This window comes from Homo sapiens, chromosome 8, assembly GCF_000001405.40.
Source record: "Homo sapiens chromosome 8, GRCh38.p14 Primary Assembly".
Lineage (NCBI taxonomy): Eukaryota > Metazoa > Chordata > Mammalia > Primates > Hominidae > Homo > Homo sapiens.
In genome coordinates, this window is record NC_000008.11 from 54819494 (window position 1) to 54841655 (window position 22162).

The 22162-nt window shown below is 37.2% G+C and overlaps 1 protein-coding gene across 6 annotated transcripts in view; it reads left to right on the top strand.

The window, feature by feature from the left end:
• Positions 1-22162, top strand: part of RP1 (RP1 axonemal microtubule associated) — a 312050-nt gene that overhangs the window by 260309 nt on the left and 29579 nt on the right. For all 6 annotated transcript variants that reach the window (XM_047422069.1, XM_047422070.1, XM_047422071.1 and 3 more), the window contains one exon: positions 17957-18176. In XM_047422069.1, coding sequence (XP_047278025.1) covers positions 17957-18176 — 220 coding nt within the window. The remainder of the gene's footprint in view (positions 1-17956; positions 18177-22162) is intronic.

Sequence of the window (22162 nt, forward strand, 5' to 3'; positions counted from 1 at the left end):
CATTCTCCTGGATGTTCTTGATGTTTGTAGATGATTGTTGACGTCTGGGCATTGAATAATTAGGTATTCATTCTAATCTTCACAGTCTGAGCTTCTCTGTACCTATTTTTTAAGAGAAGGCTCTCCAGGTATTCAAAGGGAATTGAGTGTTGTGATCTGAGTCTTTGGGCACTGTGGTAGTATCTGCATTAGGGGGCACCATAAGCCCAGCAATGCTGCAACTCTTGCAAACTCATGGAGGTACCACCATGGTGGGCTTGGGTAAGATCCAGAAAATTTATCTGGAATACCAGGCAGAGTCTCTCATTGTATTCTCTCACTTTCCCCTAAACAGAAAAAGCCTCTCTCTCCATGAAGGGCTGCCTGGGATTGAGAGAGGGGTGACACAAGAATTTCTCAGCTGGGAATGTGCAAGAAGTACTTGATATAGTACTGGGTCTCACGCAAGATCCGCGGTGACTACTGCCCGAGTACCACTGATTTTTATCAGGGCCCAATGGCTCTTAGTCAGCAGGTGGTAAATCCTGCCAGGACTGGTCTATCCCTTCAGGGCAACTTCCCTTCTGGCCAAGGATGGATCTAAAACTGCCATCCAGGAGCTTAGACCTGGCATCAGCGTCTTTAGGAATCTGCTTGGTGCTTTATTTTATTGTGGCTGAGCTGGTACCCAAGCTGCAAGACAAAAATCCTCTGTCCTCTTCCCTCTCCTTTCCCCAAGCAGTGGAGTTTCTTCCTGAGCTGTGCTGCCTGGGGCTGGGGGAGGGGTGAGGCAAGCACTCCCTTGGCCACTCCAGCTTGTGTTGCACTGGGTTGTATACATTGCAAGATCACTGGCTCCAAGTCCAGTGAAGTACCAGGACTTGCCACAGAATTGCAGTCCTTGTGGCCTGACTGCCTTTCAAATTTATACAGGACCCTAGACTGCTTTAGTCTGCTGGTGGTAGAGTTAGCTGGAAATCGAGTTTCTATTGCTGGGGTGGAGGATTCCCCTCTGGCTGGGACTGCTCTAAATGCTCCCTTCATGGGCACAGGAAGAATTCTGTCCTGTGTTGTGCTCTGCTGTGACAGGGCAGCACTGAGTTCCATGGCAGAGTCTCACAGTCACTTCACTGTCCCTTCCCCAAGCACAAGGATTCTCTGCATGCTGTAGGGGATGTGGAGGGCTGGTGTGGGCAGTGCAAGATTGTCTTTTCGGCCATCTTCAGTGTCCCTTTCCCTGATATGATCTTAAAACCAGGTACTGCGATCACTCATCTGATTTTTGGTTCTTATGATGGTGTTTTCTTGTGTGGCTGGTTGTTCAATTTGGTGTTCCTGAGAGGGGAGGATCGCTGCGGGCCATCTTTCTCCACCTCCTTCCCAGAACACACTCAGGAAATTGACATCCTCAGAAGAGTAAAAGAAGACATGGCCTCCAGGAATCCGCAGGAGGATCCAGGAGGAGAGAATATCCTTAGGCGAAGCAGCAAGATGAGGGATGAAGCTGGAGATGGCTTAGAAACAAAAACACAAAGCAGAATAAAAAGCCATATTTAAAGCAGACGAGTATAGAATAGCACTGCCAAAGGTGGACTCAGTGATGAGGGACACGCCAGAAATTACCTCCCAGAATGATAAAAAGAGATAGAAAAATAGAAAAGAGAAGGTAGGTGTAGAAAACAGAGAACAAATGGTAAATAAGGTGTTTCAGAAGAAAAAACAAGGGGAAATATAGTAATAACCATCAAAAATATGATTGCAACAACCTTCTGTAGTTCTAGAAAGACTATCATATATAAATGAAAGGGCTTGAAATGAGTAGAAAGAGATGCACACATCCAGATACACTCTGATAGCTTTTTGGAAAGCTAAGGATAATCCCACAGGTGGACATCCAAAAAAAACAGATGCTTGACAAACCATACAAATGACTTACATGAATGTATTTACACTGATTTCAATAGGCTTATGTTATCTAAAATAAATTCTAGTAATCATGGGGGTTTGATTCCACATTCTGCCTTACTCTACATAACAGAGGCCAATTTAGTACTTTCTAAACCTGGGTACTCTGATATGTAGAAAGCAGGTACAGACATTTACCTCTTATGTTGGTTGTGAAGATGAAACTACCAGTTAGTCATCCTCAGTGGTTGCTGAAGTCTCACACTCTAAGAGCAACTTAATGTGTTAAACTGGAAAAAAAAAATTAGTATGAACTCATGACCTTAAAAAGATACCTATTTTCTAATTGTCACCGCTAAGTACCCCAAGGGCAGCTGTTCGTTCATCTACCACCAGCTCTCCTGCGTCCTGTACTGCCCATATTTTGCCTCTGATAATGCACACCACTAAAAAGAATCAGGGTACCTGGGAGGAAAATTGATTCCAGTGTTCAAGCAGGAAAAAAAATGGATTGGTCTAGAATATCCTTTTGTTGTCTGAAATCAGCTATTGCTTCAAAAATGTCAGGACCAGTGCTAAAGGACAGAAGAGCAAACTTAACAAGGCTTCCATTGGCTAAGCTGCAAAGACCATCATCATAATAGTGATAATAATCATAGTAGTTAATTGAAACAAGTTGAGACTGTGAAAAGCCATGCATTAGTAATTATATTTGAAAGAGAAAAGTGAATATAAAGTGTACAAAATGTAGTTGTAATACAGAGAAGGGTATATATAATAGTTTAATTATTTATTAGTTTTAACAAATAAAGGAGTGTTAATAAATGAGATTCCTGTAAAGCACTGTGCCATTTGAAATTTTAATAAATTCACTTCTATGAAAGAGGTAAACATTCTGCAAAATGCTGCTGAGAAAATTTATCCAGAGAGTAGCATATTTGATTGTAGGAATTTTATCTTTCAGTGTATCTACTATGATTTTGTATAATAATACCGATGTAATTCAGTATAGCATAGTTCTTTATTACCTGGAATATGAAAGAAAGAAATTAGAAAAAACAAATTATTAACAATTTAGTTTAAATGATGGGTAAATTCCATCTCTTCTACATTTTGTAAATTGTTTATATCTTCTATAAATACAAATGTATTAAAATTCAAACTGCACATTTATTTTATGGATATTTTGAATATATGAGTATTTTACTTCTCATTTTTAATTATGTATCTGTTTATGAGGACAAAAAACAAACTTGTTTCTTTGTCTGTGGCAATGAAGGGAAAAATATAGAGAACTACGCAGAGTAATCCAAGTAGTCCATGAGAAAGCAGGTATTACACCAAGTTGAGGAAGGACTGCCTCAGCCCTGCAGGCATCAACATTAGCCAACTAAAGAAGAGTTCACCGTGTGTCCCAAAATGGTGAATTAGCCAAATACCTAGAGGAGAGCTAACTATACACATGCAATCTCTCATCTCTTAGGATGAGACCTCTAGGTGGCTCTGCTAATTGTAACAAAATGGTAATAAGTAAATTTCATAACTTTTGTTTTTAAATAATTACGTATTCCTTGGAAGTTGCAAAGATAATAGAGAGGCCTTGTGTACCCTTAACCCATTTTCCCACAGTGGTTTCATCTCACATAATAATAGTTCAGTATCTAAGCCTTAGTACAATGTGTGTGCATAGTTCTACGTTGTTTTATCAGGTGTATAGCACTCGTGTGACTCCCCGCCGCCCCCTCAGCTGCAATGAAGATCTGGAACTATTCCATCCTGAGAAAGCCCTCCCCGGTGGGTGCTGTCCCTTTACAGTCACAGCTCCCCCACCTCCACCCTGCCTACTATCATCTCTGGCAAACATGCTTCTCTTTTATATCTCAATAATGTTTAGAATGTTATATAATTGGAATCATGTAGCATGTGACCTTTTGAGACTGGCAGTCTTGTTTTCTTCTTTTTTTATTTTTTGACATGGAGTCTCCCTCTGTTGCCCAGACTGGAGTGCAGTGGCGCCACCTTGGGTCACTGCAACCTCTGCCTCCCAGGTTTAAGCAATTCTTGTGCCTCAGCCTCCTGTGCAGCTGGGATTACAGGCTTGTGGCACCACACCAGCTAATTTTTGTGTTTTTAGTAGAGACGGGGTTTCACCATGTTGACCTGGCTGGCCTTGAACTCCTGAGCTCAAGTGGTCCACTCACGTTGGCCTCCAAAAATACTGGGATTACAGACATGAGCCACCATGCCCAGCCAGTTTGCTTTTTTTTATTGCTGAGTAATATTTTATGGTATGGATGTATGGCAGTTTGTCTGACCATTTACCTATTGAAGGACATTTTGCTCATTTCCAGTTTGGGGCTGTTATAAATAAAGATGCTAAAATAAATATGTATGAGACTTTGTGAGGACATGGTTTTCCATTTCTCTGGGATAAATTCCCAGGAATGCAATTGCTAGGTTGTATGGTAGTGTATTATGGAAACTGTCAAAGTATTTTCCAGACTGTACTATTTTATCTCCATCAACAACATATGAGAGATCTGGATTTTTTTTTCCATCCCTGCAAGCATTTGATAGTCACTAAACTTTTATTTTAGCTATCCTAATAAAGTTGTGCAGTGATATCTCATTGTGGTCTTAATTTGCATTTCTCTAATGCAAAACATCTTTTCATATGCTTATTTGCCATCCATACATCCTCTTTGGTAAAATATCTCTATATCATTTGCCCATTTTCTAATTGGATTGTTTGTGTGTTTTTTTTTTAATATTGAGCTTTTAGCTGCTAGTAAACCTAACAAATTAAAAAAGAGAAGATAAATTACTAATATTAGAAATGAAACAGAGGTTATCACTATAGATATTGCAGACGTTGAAAAGAAAATAAGGGAACACCACAAACAATTCTACCCATAGTTTGCCAGCTTAGATAAAATGGATCACTTCCTCAAAAAAACAAACGAGTACAACTCACCCAATATGAAATAGATTGAAGTAGATAATTTGAATAACCCTATAATCAGCAAGGAAATTGAATTTTTAATTTAGAAACTCCCAGAGAAGAATCTGTCGGCCCATAGATGGTTTCATTAGAGAATCCTACCAAATATTTAGAGAATTATTAGTTTTTGCACAGTCCTTACTGGAAATCAGAAGTGGGAATACTGTCTAACTCATTCTATGAAGCCATTATTACCTTGATCACTAAAACGAGATAAACACATCCCCAAAAATGGGAAACCGCAGACTAATTTTCCTCATGAGTATAGATACAAAAGTCCTTAACAAAATATTACCAAATAGAATTCAGCATCCTACAAAAAAAGAATTATATACCGTGACCAAGTAAGATTTATCCAGGCATACAAGTTTGCTTAAACATTTGAAAATGAGTCAGTTGTAACCTGTTATATTAATAGGCTAAGAAAGAAAAATTGTATGATCATGTTAATTGATGCAGAAGTAGCATTTGACAAAATTCAACACCCATTCATAATTTTTAAAACTCTCAGAAAAAATGCGAATATCAACTTGACAAAGAGCATCTACAAATACTCAGAGCTAACACTATTCTTTTTCTTTCTTTTTTTTTTTTAATTTATTTATGAGATGGAGGCTCGCTCTGTCGCCCAGGCTAGATAGAGTGCAGTGGCGCGATCTCCGCTCACTGCAAGCTCCGCCTCCCGGGTTCACGCCATTCTCCTGCCTCAGCCTCCCGAGTAGCTGGGACTACAGGCGCCTGCCACCACGGCCGGCTAATTTGAGTAGAGACGAGGTTTCATTGTGTTAGCCAGGGTGGTCTTGATCTCCCGACCTCGTGATCCATCCACCTCGGCCTCCCAAAGTGCTGGGATTACAGGCGTGAGTCACCGTGCCAGGTCGCTAACACTATTCTTAATGGCAAAAAGCTGAATGCTTTTTTCCTAATGGAAAAGTTTTGCAAGGCAAAACTGCCTGCCTTCAACGTTCTTATTCAATACAGTGGTAAAAGTTCAGGAAATAAAAAGCATAGAGATTAGAGTTCTTGGGCACGTATTATTGTGTCTTTAGACATAAAAACATGATCCATCAAATAAAAAAGTGATAAATTGGGCTTCATCAGAATTAAAAACTTTAATATGTGAAAAACCTCGTTAAAAGGATGAAAAGACACACTTCAGATGGGACAAAATATTTGCAAACTACGTATATGACAGACAACTCTTACCTGTTAGGTGGAGTGTTCTATACATGTCTATCAGACCCTGCTGGTTGTTGGTATTAGTTCTATATCTTTCATGATTTTCTGTCTAGTTGTTTTATTAATTTGTGAGAGATGGATGTTGTGGTTTCCAACAGTACTTGTGGATATGTTTATTTTTCTTTAGTTGTATCAAGTTTTCCTTTACATATTTTGCTTGAGCTATATAAGAGATAAAATAGGATGGCTCATGCCTGTAATTCCACTGTGGGGGGCAGAGCAGAGGATGAATGCTTGAAGCCAGGAGCTTGAGACCAGCCTGGGCAACATGGCAAGACCCTGTCTCCACAAAAAAAAAAAATCAGCCTGGTGCAATGGCTTGCACCTGTAGTCCTCGTTACTTGGGAGGCTGAGGCAGTAGGATCACTTGAGCCCAGAAATTGGAAGCTGCAGTGAAGCAGGATTGTAACCACTGCACTCCAGCCTTGGTGACAGAGTGAGCCTGACTCAAAATTAAAAACAAAAACAAAAAGCAAAAAAAGTTGTAATAAGAGATGGTTGACTAGAGAAAAAGGCAGCTTAGCCTGACAATTGACTCAGGTTTAAAACACGTGGGATAAGCAACCACATTTGAGAAGCTGGCATTTGAGCAGAATCTTAAAGAGTGAGAAACATTTTTGTAGGCAAAAATGTAAAGGAAGGGCATCATGAACAGAAAGACAAGTCCTTGATGCAGTACTTGGAGAATAATGTAGATGGCTGTGCCCCCCACATTGTCTGCATTATCATTGCCACCTCCTGGAGGAATGCTTTTGAGGGATAGCACTGATTTATCTTCTGTCTAACCACAGAAGTCTATGCATAATTGAAATTGTTAGCTTTGCCTACTGTGGAGTTCTTTGTTCCATGATATTTCTTTGAAGATACAAGTTGTTTCAGTTTTTAGAGAATAACCATTATAAAGAATTTCTGTCATCAATATAAACATGAGTTGCTTAAGTATTACAGCAAAGTTTAAACTCCTATGAAAATTGCAGAAATATTTTTTACATCAAATAATCCAATCATAAATTCAGTCTCCAATGTAATGTATATTTTACAAACTTGAAGAGAATTGCCAAGTCCTCATATGTCACTCAATCCAAACCCTACAAAATATTTACAAAAAAGACCATTAAAAGGATCTGCATTAAACTTTTCCTGCTTCATGTTCAAAGTTTAATACAGCCATGCCTTGCTTAATGATGGGGATACCTTTGACAAATATGTCACAGGTAATTTTGTCATTGTGTAAACATCATAGAGTGCACTTGCACAAACCTAGATGGTCTAGCCTGCTACTCGCCTATGCTATATGGGATTGCCTACTGATTCTAGGCCTTGAACCTGTACTACTAAGTACTGTAGTCACTTGTAACACAATGATAATGACTTACGTATCTAAACAGAGAAAAGGTACAGTAAAAATATGATATGAAAGATAAAAAATGGTATACCTGTACAGGGCACTTACCATAAATGGAGCTTGCAGGACTGGAAGTAGCTCTGGATGAGGAAGTGAGTGAGTGGTGAGTGAATGTGAAGGCCTAGGACATTACTGTACACCAATTTATGTAAATACTGGACACCAAGCCTACACTAGATTTATAAAAAATATTTTTCTTTCATCAATAACAAAGTAACCTTAGCTTACTGTTTGATTTTTCTGTAATAACACAGCTTGAAACACAAACACATTGTACAGCAGTACAAAAATATTTTCTTTATAGTGTATTTTTTTTTTTTTTTAGACAAGATTTCACTCTGTTGCCCAGGCTGGAGTGCAGTGGTACAATCGTGACTTACTGCAGCCTCCACCTCCCAAGCTCAGGTGATCCTCCCACCTCAGCCTTCTCCCAAGTAGCTGGACTCCAGGTGCGTGCCACCATGCCAGGCTGATTTTTAAATGTTTTTCTAGAGATGGGGTTTAACCATGTTGCCTAGGCTGGTCTTGAACTCCTGGGCTCAAGTAATCCTCCTGCCTCAGCCTCGCAAAGTGCTGGGATTACAGGCGTGAGCCACTGTGCCAGGCTACATTTTTTATTTTTAAAAGTAATTAAGAGAGGCCGAGACGGCAGATCACCTGAGGTCAGGAGTTCCAGACCAGCCTGGCCAACACGGTGAAACCCTGTCTCTACTAAAAATACAAAAATTAGCCAGGCGTGGTGACAGGCGCTTGTAATCTCAGCTACTCGGGAGGCTGAGGCGGAAGAAGTGCTTGAACCGGGAAGGCGGAGGTAGCAGTAAGCTGAGATCACACCACTGCACTCCAGCTTGGGCGACAAGAGCAAAACTACGTCTCAAAAAAAAAAGTAGTAATTATTTTTTTCTACTTTTTAAGCTTTTTTGTTAAAAATAAGATATAGATGGACACATTAGCCTAGGCCTACACAGGGTCAGGACCATGAATATCACCATCTTTCACCTCTGTATCTTGTCCCACTGGAAGGTCTTCAGCGACAAAAACATGCATGGAGCTGTCATCTCCTATGATAACGATGCTTTCTTCTGGATACCTCCTGAAGGACCTGCCTGAGGCTGTTTTACAGTTAGTTTTAAAAAATAAGTGGAAATATACTCTAAAATAATAATTAAAAGTACAGCATAGTAAATATATAAACCAGTAGCATAGTCATTTATTATCTGCTATGGTTTGGAAATGATTTGTTTGGCCCCACCAAGCCTCCTGTTGAAATCTGACCCCCAGGGTTGGAGATGGGGCCTGTGAGAGGTCTTTGGGTCATCAAAGTGGATCTCTCATGAATGGCTTTGTGTCGTTCTCTCAAGTGTGAGTGAGTTCCTGCTCTTAATTCTCAAGAGAACTAGTTGGTAGAAAGACCTTGACACCTTCCCCCTCTCTCTTTTGCTTCTTTTCTTACCATGTGATCTCGGCAGGGCTCCTCTTTGTCTTCTGCCAGGAGTAGAAGCTTCCTGAAACCCTCACCAGAAGCAGATGCTAGTGCTGGGCTTCTTGTGTAGTCTGCAGAACAGGAGCCAAATAAACCTGTTTTCTTTATGAATTCCCCAGCCTCAGGTATTCCTTTATAACAACACCAACAGACTATGACATTATCATTATCAAGTATGTACTGTACATAATTGTATGTGCTATACTTTTATATGACTTGCAGTGCAGTAGGCTTGTTTACACCAACATCACCACAAACACGTGAGTAATGTGTTCTCTACGACATTATGACGGCTACGATGTCACTAGGCAATAAAAAATTTTCAGGTCCATTATAATCTTCTTCTTCTTCTTCTTTCTTCTTTCTTCTTCTTCTTCTTTTTTTTTTTTTTTTTTTTTTTTTTTGAGATGGAGTCTCGCTCTGTCACCCAGGCTGGAGTGCAGTGGTGCGATCTCGGCTCACTGTAACCTCTGCCCCACCAGGCTCAAGCGATTCTCCCGCCTCAGCCTGTTGAGTAGCTGGGATTACAGGTGCCTACCACCATGCCGGGCTAATTTTTGTATTTTTAGTAGAGACGGGGTTTTGCCATGTTGGCCAGGCTGATCTCAAACTCCTGTCAGGTCCATTATAATCTTACAAGACCACTGCATATATGCAGTCCATCATTGACCCAAATGTTGTTATGCAGTGCATGACTATATATAATTTCTAGATAGGAAGTGGATTTGGTTTTGCTGGGCTTGAAATGTAAACCTTCATGGTAAACCTGCCTCTGCTTCCTGCCAATGGCTAATGCCATATGCTCTTGCTCCACCAAAAAGTTTTCCAAAACATCATGGGAACTTTGGGAAATAGAGCATATATTTTTAAAAATACGGTTTGTTGAGAAATTAAAGAATTAGATGAAACCAGAAAATAAAAGCATCCATTATAAATACAATCAATAAAAATTTATATTAATGATATTAATAAAGTGTACAAAGCAGAAGAATCACAAGTATGTTTTTGGAGGAGACAGAACATGGAGAGAACATCTGACTTTTGATATATTTATGATGGAATTACATAATCAGGGTTCTAGATGAATATAAGGAGGCTCTCTGGATGTTCAGGATAGGTATTTGACACCATTTTACCTCTGGTATATCTATGATCATTCCAAAAAAATACAGAAAGATCAACAAATGTCTATGTTCTTAAGAACTGACTGAACCAAGTAAATATTAAAAAATCATTTGGATAAATAAGCAGAGAGACTTTAATTCACTAGATTTTTCCCTTATCTGGTGAGAAAAGTCACTGGAGTTCTCAATTATTTGATCAAAAATTTACTAAGAATTATATGAATAGATCATGTGGAATGATTCTGGGGAGGGGGAAAGGACAACACTTTCTCCCATAAACCAGTATAAATTTCTCTGAATTAAAATTTTATATCCATTTAATTTGGAAAAGCTACACATCTCAATGTTCTTAGAATTAAAAAAAGAGTATGTATTCTGAAGCTTTTGGATATAATGTACTCTGAATATCAGTTAGGGCAAGTTGGTTGATAGTATTGATAGTGTTCTATATTCCTACTTATTTTTTGTAAATATCTATCAATTATTGAGAGAAGATGTTAAAATCGCCAAATATGATTGCGTATTAGTCTATCCCTTTTATTTCTATCAAGTTTTTTCTTCCTGTTTTTAAGCTCTATTAGTAGGTACCTTCACATTGAAGATTATTATATCTACTTGCTGAATTGACTCTTGTCATAAAATGACCTTCTGTATTTCTTTTTTTTTTTATACTTTAAGTTCTGGGGTACATGTGCACAATGTGCAGGTTTGTTACATATGTGTACATGTGCCATGTTTGTGTGTTGCACCCATTAACTCGTCATTTACATTAGGTATATTTCCTAATGCTATCCCTACTCCCTCCCCCCACTGACCTTCTGTATTTCTAGTGACATTTCTATTCTTAAAGTCACTGTTATCTAATGTTAATATACAGATGCAGATTTCTTATGCTTTGTGTTTTCTTGGTATCTCATTTTTCCATCCTTTCCTTTTTTAGCTGTCTGTATCTTTATACAGTACAGTTTTTATATATAGCATATTGTTAGATGTTACTTTTTAAATCCAGTCTGATAATCTCTGCCATTTAAATAAAAAGTTGGATCCATTTACTTTTATAAAAAATTGAGTTGAAATTCACATAGCATACAATTAACCGTTTTGAAACGTACCATTCAGTGGCAGTTAGTACATTTAGTGGTTCATGTTATGCAGCCACTACCCTGTCTAGTTCCAAAACATTTTCATCATGCCAAAAGAAAAACTCTGTACACATTCAGCAATTACTCTCCATTCTCCCCTCCCTTTCAGAGCTGGCAACCAGTAATCTGTTTTCTGCCTCTTCAACTATTTCTAGATATTTTATATCAATGGGTTCATTGAGTACATGGTCTTTTTTATTTGACTTGTTTCCCTTAGCATCATGTTTTTTGAGTTTTATCCATGTTGAAGCATACATCCGTACTTCACTTCTTTTTATGGCTGAATAATATTCCTTTGTTTGTATATATCACAATATGTTGATACATTCATCAATTGTTGGACATTTGGTTTGTATTCACATTTTGGCTGCATAGACTTTGTTGCTCTGAATATTTATGTACAAGTATTTGTCTGAATGCCTGTTTTCAATTCTTTTGGGTATATACCCAGCAGTGGAATGTTGGGTCATATGGTAATACTATATTTAACATGATGAGAACTACCAAATGTTTTCACATAGTGGCTGCACCTTATTGTTGTTTTAGAATTCTTTATATATTCTGGATATCTCAATCTTGTATTAATTTGTTTCTCCTTTCTTTCTCTTTTTTGGGATAACCTATTGTTTCTTTTTTTTTTTTTTTTTTAACATTCAATAGTATCTTCTCCTTTGGCTTATTACCTGTGCCTGTTTTTTGTTTTTGGTGGTTTTTGTACACATTACAATATGCATTCTTATCACATAGAGTAAACTTTAAAAAGTGCTATCCCATTAATATCCCTTCAACCCCTTATGCTATTACTGTTATGTATTTTATTTCTACATATATTACAAACCCCATAAAACATAAAACATCCTATTCCTCATTATATTTGCTTTAAACAGTCCATTGATTTGCATAAAATTTAATAAAAGAAGAAAAATTGTGGTTTATATATACCCTTTTATGTATAGTATATTTACTATATCCATGCTCCTCCTTTTTTGCTATACATTTACATGTCCATCTTGTATTATTTCTCTTAAACCTGAAGAACTTCTCTTTGCATTTTTTGTAGTACAAGTTGGCTAGTTATAAATTTTCTTAGCTTTTTTTAATGAAAAGATGTTCATTTTACCTTCATTTTTAAAGAATATTTTTTGCTAGATATGAAACTTCAGTTTGACAATGTTCATTTGTTCTTAGAACTTAAAAGATGCTTTATCGTATTCTGGCCTGCGTTATTTCTAAAGCAAAAATAGCCACTATTCTTACTACTATTCTCCTATATAAAAATAGTATTTTTCTTTGGCTGCTTTTAAGAATTTTTCTTTCCTTTTCATCAGTTACTATGATCTTACTAGGTGTGATTTTCTTTATATATATTTTGCTTGAGATTCACTATGATTGCTTTTTCTGTGGGTTGCTGTTTTTCACCAAAGTTGAAAAATTTCAATAAATATTTAAGTATTTTTTCTTCTCTATTCAATCTCTTTTTTCCTTCCAGGAGTCTAATTATATATATGTTAGTTTAATTGATACTGTCTCATAGGTTGCTGAGATGCTGTTAAATTGTTTTACTAATTATTTCAATATGGATAATTTCTATTAACTGTCTTCAAGTTTACTGACTTTTTTGTGTCTAATTGGTTATTTTATTCCATTAATTATTATTTCACTTATTGTATTTTCTAGATCTAGGATTTTCACTTTTTTAATATAATTTCTAGATAGCACTTGACAATGCTTATCTCTTTACTCATTATATTCCTCTTTTCCTGTAGATTATATGGCATATTTACTATATTTTAATATCCTTGTCTGCTAATTCCAACATCCATGTTATTTGCAGGTGTATTTTTATTAACTCCTTTTTTTATTGACATTATGCAGTTTGTTCATACGTCTAGTAATTTTGATTGCATACTAGACCTTGTGGATAATAGTGCAGTAACTCTGTATTCTGTTATATTCTTCTGAAGAATGTTGAGTGCTGTTAATTTGTGGATCACCTCGAATGTAGGGGTTTGTTTTTATGCCTTGTTAGGACAGGGCTATTTCAGCTTTATCCTTAGTCTTGAGAGAATCTTTTTAGTAAAGAGATGTAGTTGTCATTTCTAATGCATGGTACTTCTAGGGATTTGATGGAAAGCCTTGGGAATTTATCATGCTTTTATAACTTGGTGTAACTCAAACTTTAAAGTCTTTTTCTAAAGTCACTTGTGGTAAGTAACAGCTAGAATTGCCACTCAGTTATTTTAGCCTTCTGACTTGTTTTCTCTTTGAGCTCCTTGCAGTCATACCTGCATGTGAATAGTGTAGTCATTGGTCTAGGATTTGACTGGCATTTACATGCAGATTTGTATCACCTACTTTTGTTCCCTCCTTTCTGGGATCTCCCCTCTTAATTTCCAGCTTCTCTGGTAGTTCCAAATTAGTTCCAAGTTCATTCTGCCCATTCTTCAGAAGATTAGACTGTGTGTTTCTGCTTGAGTTTTAGCCTTGTTGTTTCTCATAGAATTGGAAATGCCCTCATGCAAAAAGCTATACAAATATAGATATTGGCTATTTTCAAGGGTAAGGTCTTTTCTCCCTCATTTAAGGTCAAATCCCTGGCTTCTCTGCCTGCTTTGTTTGTTTTACAGCGCCCTCAAGCAGAATTTATTATTGTTGTTGCTAGAGAGTTAGGTCAAAATAAGTTACCCTTCTAGAATAAAAGTGGAAACTACATGAAGAATTGATTACAATCCATTTATATTTTGCCAAGATGTATCAAGATTTACTTCAAAATCCAGGAGAAATATGACTGCTATGTTAGAAAAAGTTAAAGATCCATATCAGGGGACCTTGGCTTTAACCTTAATCACGCAACTCCTTCAAAAACATATCAGGACTTTGTTTTCCAATAGAAATCATTCACTGTTGAAAATATAGACTTCGTAATGAAATATAAGCCATATTGTTCATTCATTTAAATAGCAACTAATTGGATTACAAACTGTTATTGTTAAATTAAAAAAATACACACACAAGCATCAAAGTATTAATAAGAACATTTTCCCAGTTACTGGGGCTCAGATACTTATAAGGAGACTGTTATAACACATCATCAAAACTTTGCAAATTATTATCAGATTTTTATGCCCACCAAAATTTTGATAGAAGCCAAAGAGAACGAAGGAAACACATGAAATGAAAAAAAATCAACAGCTATATGATTTATTTAACATATGTTTAAAGCAGTCTATTCTCTGCCAAATTTTGTGTAAATACTAAGGGTAAAGAAAAGAAAGACAGAGCTCAGATCCTCAAGGAGTTAAGGGTCTAGTGGGGAATGCTAAAAATGAACAAAGGACTTAAGACTAAAGACGTAAGACTGAAACTTAAGACTTAAGTTTAAATTTTCTCAAGAAAGTAAGACAAGGGTATTTAAGGTACCCAGAATTATTTAGAGCTAGTAGCTCCTAAATCTTCAGAGGCATCATAACTCTAGATAATCAAATGCGTGAGAAATCTGCTCCCTCTGAAAGTCAAGGTCAGAGTCAGGGGTTCCGGAGTAGGAGAATATGATATTCTGTGCAGGGAAAAACCCACTAGAACCTGAGATCACTTAGATTCTTGAAGCCTTTTAAGATTTTTGAGGAAAGGGCTTTTGAATTCAGCTTTGTGAATGACACCAAGACTAAAGAATAAAGCATTTTTTAAACCAAGGACCCCTGTTTAGTTTCAGAAGGAAACCTGAATACTCTAGGCCATAAAGCCCTTGTAGCCTTTAAAAAAAATCTAAGTATCATTTACTCATTAAGCCAGGAAAGTTTTATTTTCCAGTTCTTTAATAAGAAATTTTTACCCAGGATGTGTAGAGGAGAAGAGTATCATTTTTCATGTTGTATAATATAACAAATTGTCTATGCTTTGGGAGTTTTTTTTTTTCCTGTGGTGTTGCTTCCTTTTAAAATTTACCCTAATAATTTTTAGTGTTTCTAACTTGTTAGAACTCAAGTTTTTAGTTTATACTTCTACATTCCTGCCCTGAGTTGAAAGCTATAGTATTTCCTTGAAGGGCAATCAATATGTAAAATGAACTGTCCTAGATGACTTGAGATGCTGAGTTAAGATAAAATGTCCCAGATTGAATTCAGTGATCACAAAGCTAATTGGTGTTCCAATGTTTTTCTCCAACATATGAAAGTGTCTTAAACAGAGGATACAGACTTTGCACAACATGAAATTTGCTCCTAGAACTTAAGTTTTAAAAATAACTTATTTACCATTTATTGAAAAAATACTACAGTTTCATGTGGGTTTAGGGTATCCTGGTTAGAAAAATCCTACATTTTGGAGTCACTGTCCTTTTTTTGTGTGTTTTCAAATGTAGGAAGTTAAATGTAGAAAACCAAAAACAGTTATATGCAAGAAAAATTTCTAGGCATATTACATTTTTATTTCATTAAAACTGAAGTGACTCAGGTTGATGTATTAAACCAGAACTAAGTTCCAAACTAATTTGACTAATATATTAGAAGCAATTTGGAAGCAGTCTATAGCACTAGCCATGCTGTAGTACAGTCATTTCAGTTCTGGTTCTAGTTGGCTAACCCAGGCATGCACAATCTATGGGTAATTTAGTTGCTATGCCATGACACTATTCAGTTATTATTTACAAGAATATTTGTGAATTACCAACAGAATTAGACACAGGGTTTATCAATTTTAATTTCATTTATGATGGCCAAACTTAGTTTTAATTTCCTTCTGTGAGTGCTTGGACCCATTTTCTGTCCTGTCTTTAGATTAGATATATTTAGACCACTTATTTTTGTTATTAATACAAAATTCTGACTCATAAAAAAAATAGCTGCTATATTTATTGACTTCTATCATACTTTGTAAGATTGGTACTATTGTAGTATTCAGATGGGGGCACTGAAGCTTAGAGAGGTTGAAAAACTTGCTGCAGTTCACACAGCCAGCCAGGGTACAAGCAACTAACTTTCAGACTCAGGTCTGTCTGATATCAAAACCTGAGGTTCCATATTTCTATGAAGAGACCATGTTATTTTGCCTTAGGGTGCATTTTGGAGCTTGGCTACTGATTTCTATCATATTCCTTCTATCAGCAACTTTAAGGGGGATTTTAGGAGTCCTGTACTTATCTGAACTAAGCACCAATGTTAACATTTTTTCTACGTGATAGAATTCCTATAATCACATTGTTCTAGAAATAATAGGAGGGGGACCAGCTATTTAGCTTGACTGTGATGAACTGTGTCTCTGTGCACCCAGACTAGAGAGCATTTTGGCTACAGGACAGAATTTATTCAGAACAATTATCACCAATATGACAACCCAAGGTTATATTATCAAGAAAAATATTTTAGTAGAAAAAGGTAGCAGGTCTGGATAACGGGTGTAATTTCTGTGATGATGAGACCATTTATGGTAATACCAAAGGGAGAAAAGATGTTGCAGGTCATTGTGGGGATTAGGGCAGATGAAATATCAGAAGGCAGATTAAATGGTTTCTAATTATAGTATGTGGCAGTCAGAATTTTGGCCTCATGATTTTTGGCCCTGGTGTTAATCTTATGACTATGTTATGTTCCATGGCAAATAGATTTCGCAGAACGTAATTAAGGTTACTAATTAGCTGACCTTAAAATAGGAAGATTAATCTGGTTTATACAGTTGGGCCTACTCTAAGTTATACATGCCTCTAAAAGCAAACATTTTTCTCCCAATGGTAGCAGAAATTCCAAACGTAAGAAGGGTTTGATGTGCCCTTGGTAACTTGGAGATTCAGAGGGCCACATGTCAAGGAAACAGGGAACTCAATCCTACAGCCTCAAGGAACAGGATCCTGCTAACAGCGTGAATAAGCTTGGAAGCGGAAGCTTCCCCAGAGCCTCCAAAGAGGAGTCCAGCCCACCCAGTGCCTTGATCTCAGACTGGGTGGTCTTAAGTAGAGGCTCAGCTGAGCCACATGGTGCCTGTACTTCTGACTCATGGAATTGGAAGACAATAAATGGGTCTTATTTCAAGTAATTAAGTCTGTGGTAATTTGTTACAACAGAAATAGAAAACTAATGCAGTACATAATTGATCAATTTTTTTTCATATGACCCCTGTAGGAATTTTCAAAAGAAAAATATTGCTTATTCTGGATAATAAATAATACCTTAGAATATTTGTCATACTGAATAATTATGTGTTCTGGGGGGTGCAAAGGAATACAATCATGTTACCAACACTTCTGTAGAATCACAGCGTGAACCCTAGTTTAAATCTAGGTGTACATATGGTCTCTTCCTCAGGATCTCACTGTAATGGGAAAATTCAATCTTAATAACACCAGAGCATAGGATTGTCTTATTCTTCAGGTCTACCCACTGAATGAATAGTGTGTGATAATAATTACAATAAAATATGCATATTGCAAGATAGTAATGGTGAGTTGCTAAAAGAAAGGATGTAATGAAAACTAGCTGGATTTAATTTATTGGTTTTTCCATGGTCAATGGATACATGCTTCACCATATAGAACAGCATTTCATGGTGTTAGAAGTAACTGGTTCTAAGGGAAATTAGTAAGGAGTATTTATGATAAAAAAGTAAGTAGTGAGTTCAAAATGGAATATGAATTTGGAAATTGGAGATGTAGGGAGTTTTAGTTCCCTTTTATCCTTTGTGTTGCAGATTAATCTCAAAGATATTGGTGAAATCTATAAAATACGTATTGGACATGACAACACTGGAAAGAATCCCAGGTGGTATCTGGAAGAAGTTAGACTTGAAAATATAGCCACATATGAGCTATTTTGTTTACCTGTTGATTCCTGGATAGCTGAGAATGAAAATGATGGCGATCTATGGAAGGAAATACCCATCATGGGACCAAAGAAAGCACCTTTGCCAGGTATATAATTTCATTTCCTTTGTGATGTGTATTGAAAATTAAAATAATTGAGATGATTTAGAATAGGGGCTGGCACCTTTTTCTGTAAAGGACCAGACAGTAAATATCTCACACTTCGTGGGCTATAAAGTCTCTGCCAAAACTGCTCAACTCTGCCAGTGTAGTGACGTGGCAGATATAGATAATATGGAAACAAATGATGTGGCTGTGTGCCAATAAAACTTTATGTGTAGACTCTGAAATTGGAGTCTCATATAATGTTTATTTGTTAAGAAATAGTATTCTGGTTTTGATTTTTTCAATCATTAAGAAAAATCAAAAGCATTCTAGCTCCTGGACTGTACAAAAATAAGTGGCTGGCAGATTTGGCCCACGGGCCGCAAGTTGTTTGCCCACCCCTGATTTAGAACATTAGGATTAACACCAGTATGTCTGTTCAGAGGTGACAATATATATCCAAGAATAGATGTGTGTGTTCAGCTCATCTTTCTGTAATCTGCTTTGCTACCCATTTAGATGTGACTTTCTTCTTAGCTAATTATGTTAACAAATGTCAGCAATCATGAACTTTGTAGCACCTGAATTCCTTTACTGAGTATTTTTTCTTTTTTGCTTGAAAGCAAACTCACCCAATGTCTTAATTTTCTCTCTGTCCATTCCTGGTATCTCTAATAACTACCTTCTTTTTGCTTCCACCACTGGAGAGAAAACCTTATTTCTCAATGGATACTGATAGCCTCTTTGTTCGGAATGAAATTACTGTGTATATGTGTGTGTATATGTGTGCATGTATGTGTTTGTGTGTATGCGAGTGTTTGAGTGTATGTGCATGAATGCTTATATATGTATGTGCGTGACAGAATGTATGCATGTGAGTGTTTCAATGTATGTGCATGAATGCTTATATATGTATGTGCGTGACTGAATGTATGCATGTGTGTATATGTGTATGAGTGTGTGCATGCATGTGACACTATGTATATGTGTATACGTGTGTGTGCATATTCCTGCATGCATATGTGAAAAAGTCTGTGTGTATGAGTGTGTGTGTGTGTGTATTCTTAGTGTCCTGAATCTCTCTGTTGTATTTGATACTAATACTCATGATCTCTCATTTAAGGAGGCAGAGGTTCTTAGAGGCTCTGGAACCAAGTCTTGGCTTGGTGATGTGATTGGCTGTGTCATGCAAGCTACTTAGCCTCCCTTAGCCAAGAATGCCTTGTCTGTAAAATGGTGATAAATAGAGCTTATGTCACAGGATTGTTTTCAGTACATGAGATAATGCATTTATAATATTTAGGATGATGTACTTACAGTATACAGCAGTGTTCTTAGCATACAATAATTCCACAAGAAATACTAGCCATTACCATCATCATCATTATTAAATATTTCTCCAACCTTGACCTTCATCACGTGGTACCAGCCTAGTTCTTTGACTGTTTCATCCAAGTTTTTCTCTTTATATTACTGGCCCTACTTGGTCATTTTGCCTTGAACAGGTGGGTTTAAATGCTTGATTCTTTACTCCCCTTTGAGCCTCTCTCTAACTTCTATTGTTAATTCTACACAAAAGAATGACACATTTTCATCTTCAGTCCTGTCTTCTTTCCTGCCTAGAGCCCCAGTGCTCCATTAGGTGTTTACCATCCCATCATCTTTAATACCCACTCATTCAACCATTCCACGCAGATAAGGGTAAACACATGCCTACAAACAGGTCTCAGGTGGCTGGTGTGAGCCAGGAGTAATGAGCACCAGAGGAAATCCTGATGATTCGGATAGGGGTCCTGTTCTTTAGAAGTCGTTCTGTCTTCATGGCCATAGTTACCATCTTCAGTCTAATGACTCCGCCTCTTCTGGCCCCTCATCAGTTCCTTCTTTTCAGTAGCCCCTGGAAATCTTTGCTCAGCATTTCAGTGATTCTTTGAACCCTCCCTGTCCCTGCCCTTCACCTCCTGCTGATTTCCTCAACAATTACCAGAGGAACTGGGCTTCTCTCCACCAGCATCTCCTTGATTAGCCTTATATCCCAGCTGGTACTCCATCCCACATACTCTCAATCTCTGTTAGAATGGCACAGAACACATGGGTACGTGCCCCCAGATACTAGTTGATTAATTCAGACACAGCAAGAAAGATTTGGGGTAAGTCCTGCTTAATGAAATGATAAATGTAGAATAATACTAATGCTTTATATTTGTATATATTTTGACAGTTTGCAAAAACATTCTCTCATATAAGATTTCATTTAACACATCATAAAGCTCCTGATTCTAATGGTTCTTTGTAGCTGTTCTGCAGTCATGTGAAGGTGGCAGTGGTATCCAGGGATGCCCAGAAAATGATGAAGTGGGAAAAATGAAGGGGTCCTAAAAGATTTAGAATTTTGGTTTCTACCCTGCATGTCTCAGGACCTATCTATTCTATTCACCTCATTGCTAACATGTCAATAATTCATTCTAGTTTTGAAAAATGATGTTTAAAAAAATATTGAAATCCATGGTACTGATAAGAAACAGAAGAACTCTGATGGTGTGCTATATTAGATATTTCTTAATTTGTTATTTTTTTAATGGCTGCATTATTATTATTATTATTGAGATGGAGTCTCTCTCTGTTGCCCAGGCTGGAGTGCAGTGGCATGATCTCGGCTCACTGCAACATCTGCCTCCTAGGTTCAAGCGATTCTCCTGCCCCAGCCTCCTGAGTAGCTGGGATTACAGGTGTGAGCCACCTCACCTGGCTAATTTTTGCATTTTTAGTAGAGATAGGGTTTCACCATGTAGGCCAGGCTGGTCTCGAACTCCTGACCTCAGGTGATCTGCCCAAGGCTGCATTATTTTAAAGTGAACTTTAAAGTCTGTTATACAACTCTTGTATTTCTTTCAGTTACCTCTATCGGAGCACATTTGTTACATGCAAAAAAAAAAAAAATGTGGAAGGCAGTTGTGTTTTTTTTTTTTAATTTGAGGTCCAAGAGAAACTTCATTGTATCTTAAATGAGCTATTGATTTTGGGTCCATTTAACTTGAGCAGCAATAAAGGCTCAGCATGTCTTCCCTGCATCTTTCTGTTCATCCTTTCTCCAGACTAGCTAATGAAACTTTATCCATTAGCATTTCCCATTTAAAGGGGGTAATTTCTTAGCTGAAGCACACTAACCATTTCTTAAGGTATTTTCTCCAGCAGAAGAATATAATGTAATAATGATACTTACAGCTAATCTGACTAAGTTTTCTCATTTTTCTCAGGCTCTGACATATCAGTCCAGTTGCCCCTTTCCCAGATTAAATATTTGCACATTTAGGGGGAAAACATTAAAACAAGAAAATGAAAAAAATAACACCCCAATATTCAGGAATTAAACAGAGACCAAAACTCATGGGTGGGTAAGGAGTGGTCTGGGCATGCTGAGTACCATCTTTTGGAAAATCATCTTGGTGCCATCCAGAGGCTCATTTATTATTCCCATGACATCAAGGAAAGCCCACAGTGGTTTCAGACCAATGAACTGATACTTCCTTGATTTGGCTTTGAGAAGAGAAGGAAGGAAATGTTGACCTTCAATATTTTGGGATTGTCTGTCCCTCTGTCAGAGCATTCTCTAGCTGACCATGGGAAAAACACAAGGAGTGATGAGGAGAAACTTTTAAATTATGAAGCTATTATACTTATCTTGGAGTTGCCATGCTGGTAAAGTCCTAGGGATGCACTTGAGGGTTGGGTACTTTTTAATTTAGTAGCACAAAAAGAGTGGTTTTCCAGGCAGTTGGCACTTACACTCTGAGCTGATTAATTTTGTGACATTGTCTTTATTTTCAAAGGATTGCTGGAATGTTTTCAAAAGAAAAGTGTTTTGAGACTACTAGTCTATAAGTCATCATTCTTTGGGGGCTGAGCTACATTGCTGGTGGGATTATAGTGATCTCCTCCCAGAGGCCAGCACTGCCAAATGCAGCTTGTTTCATGCCTTTCTCTGATTT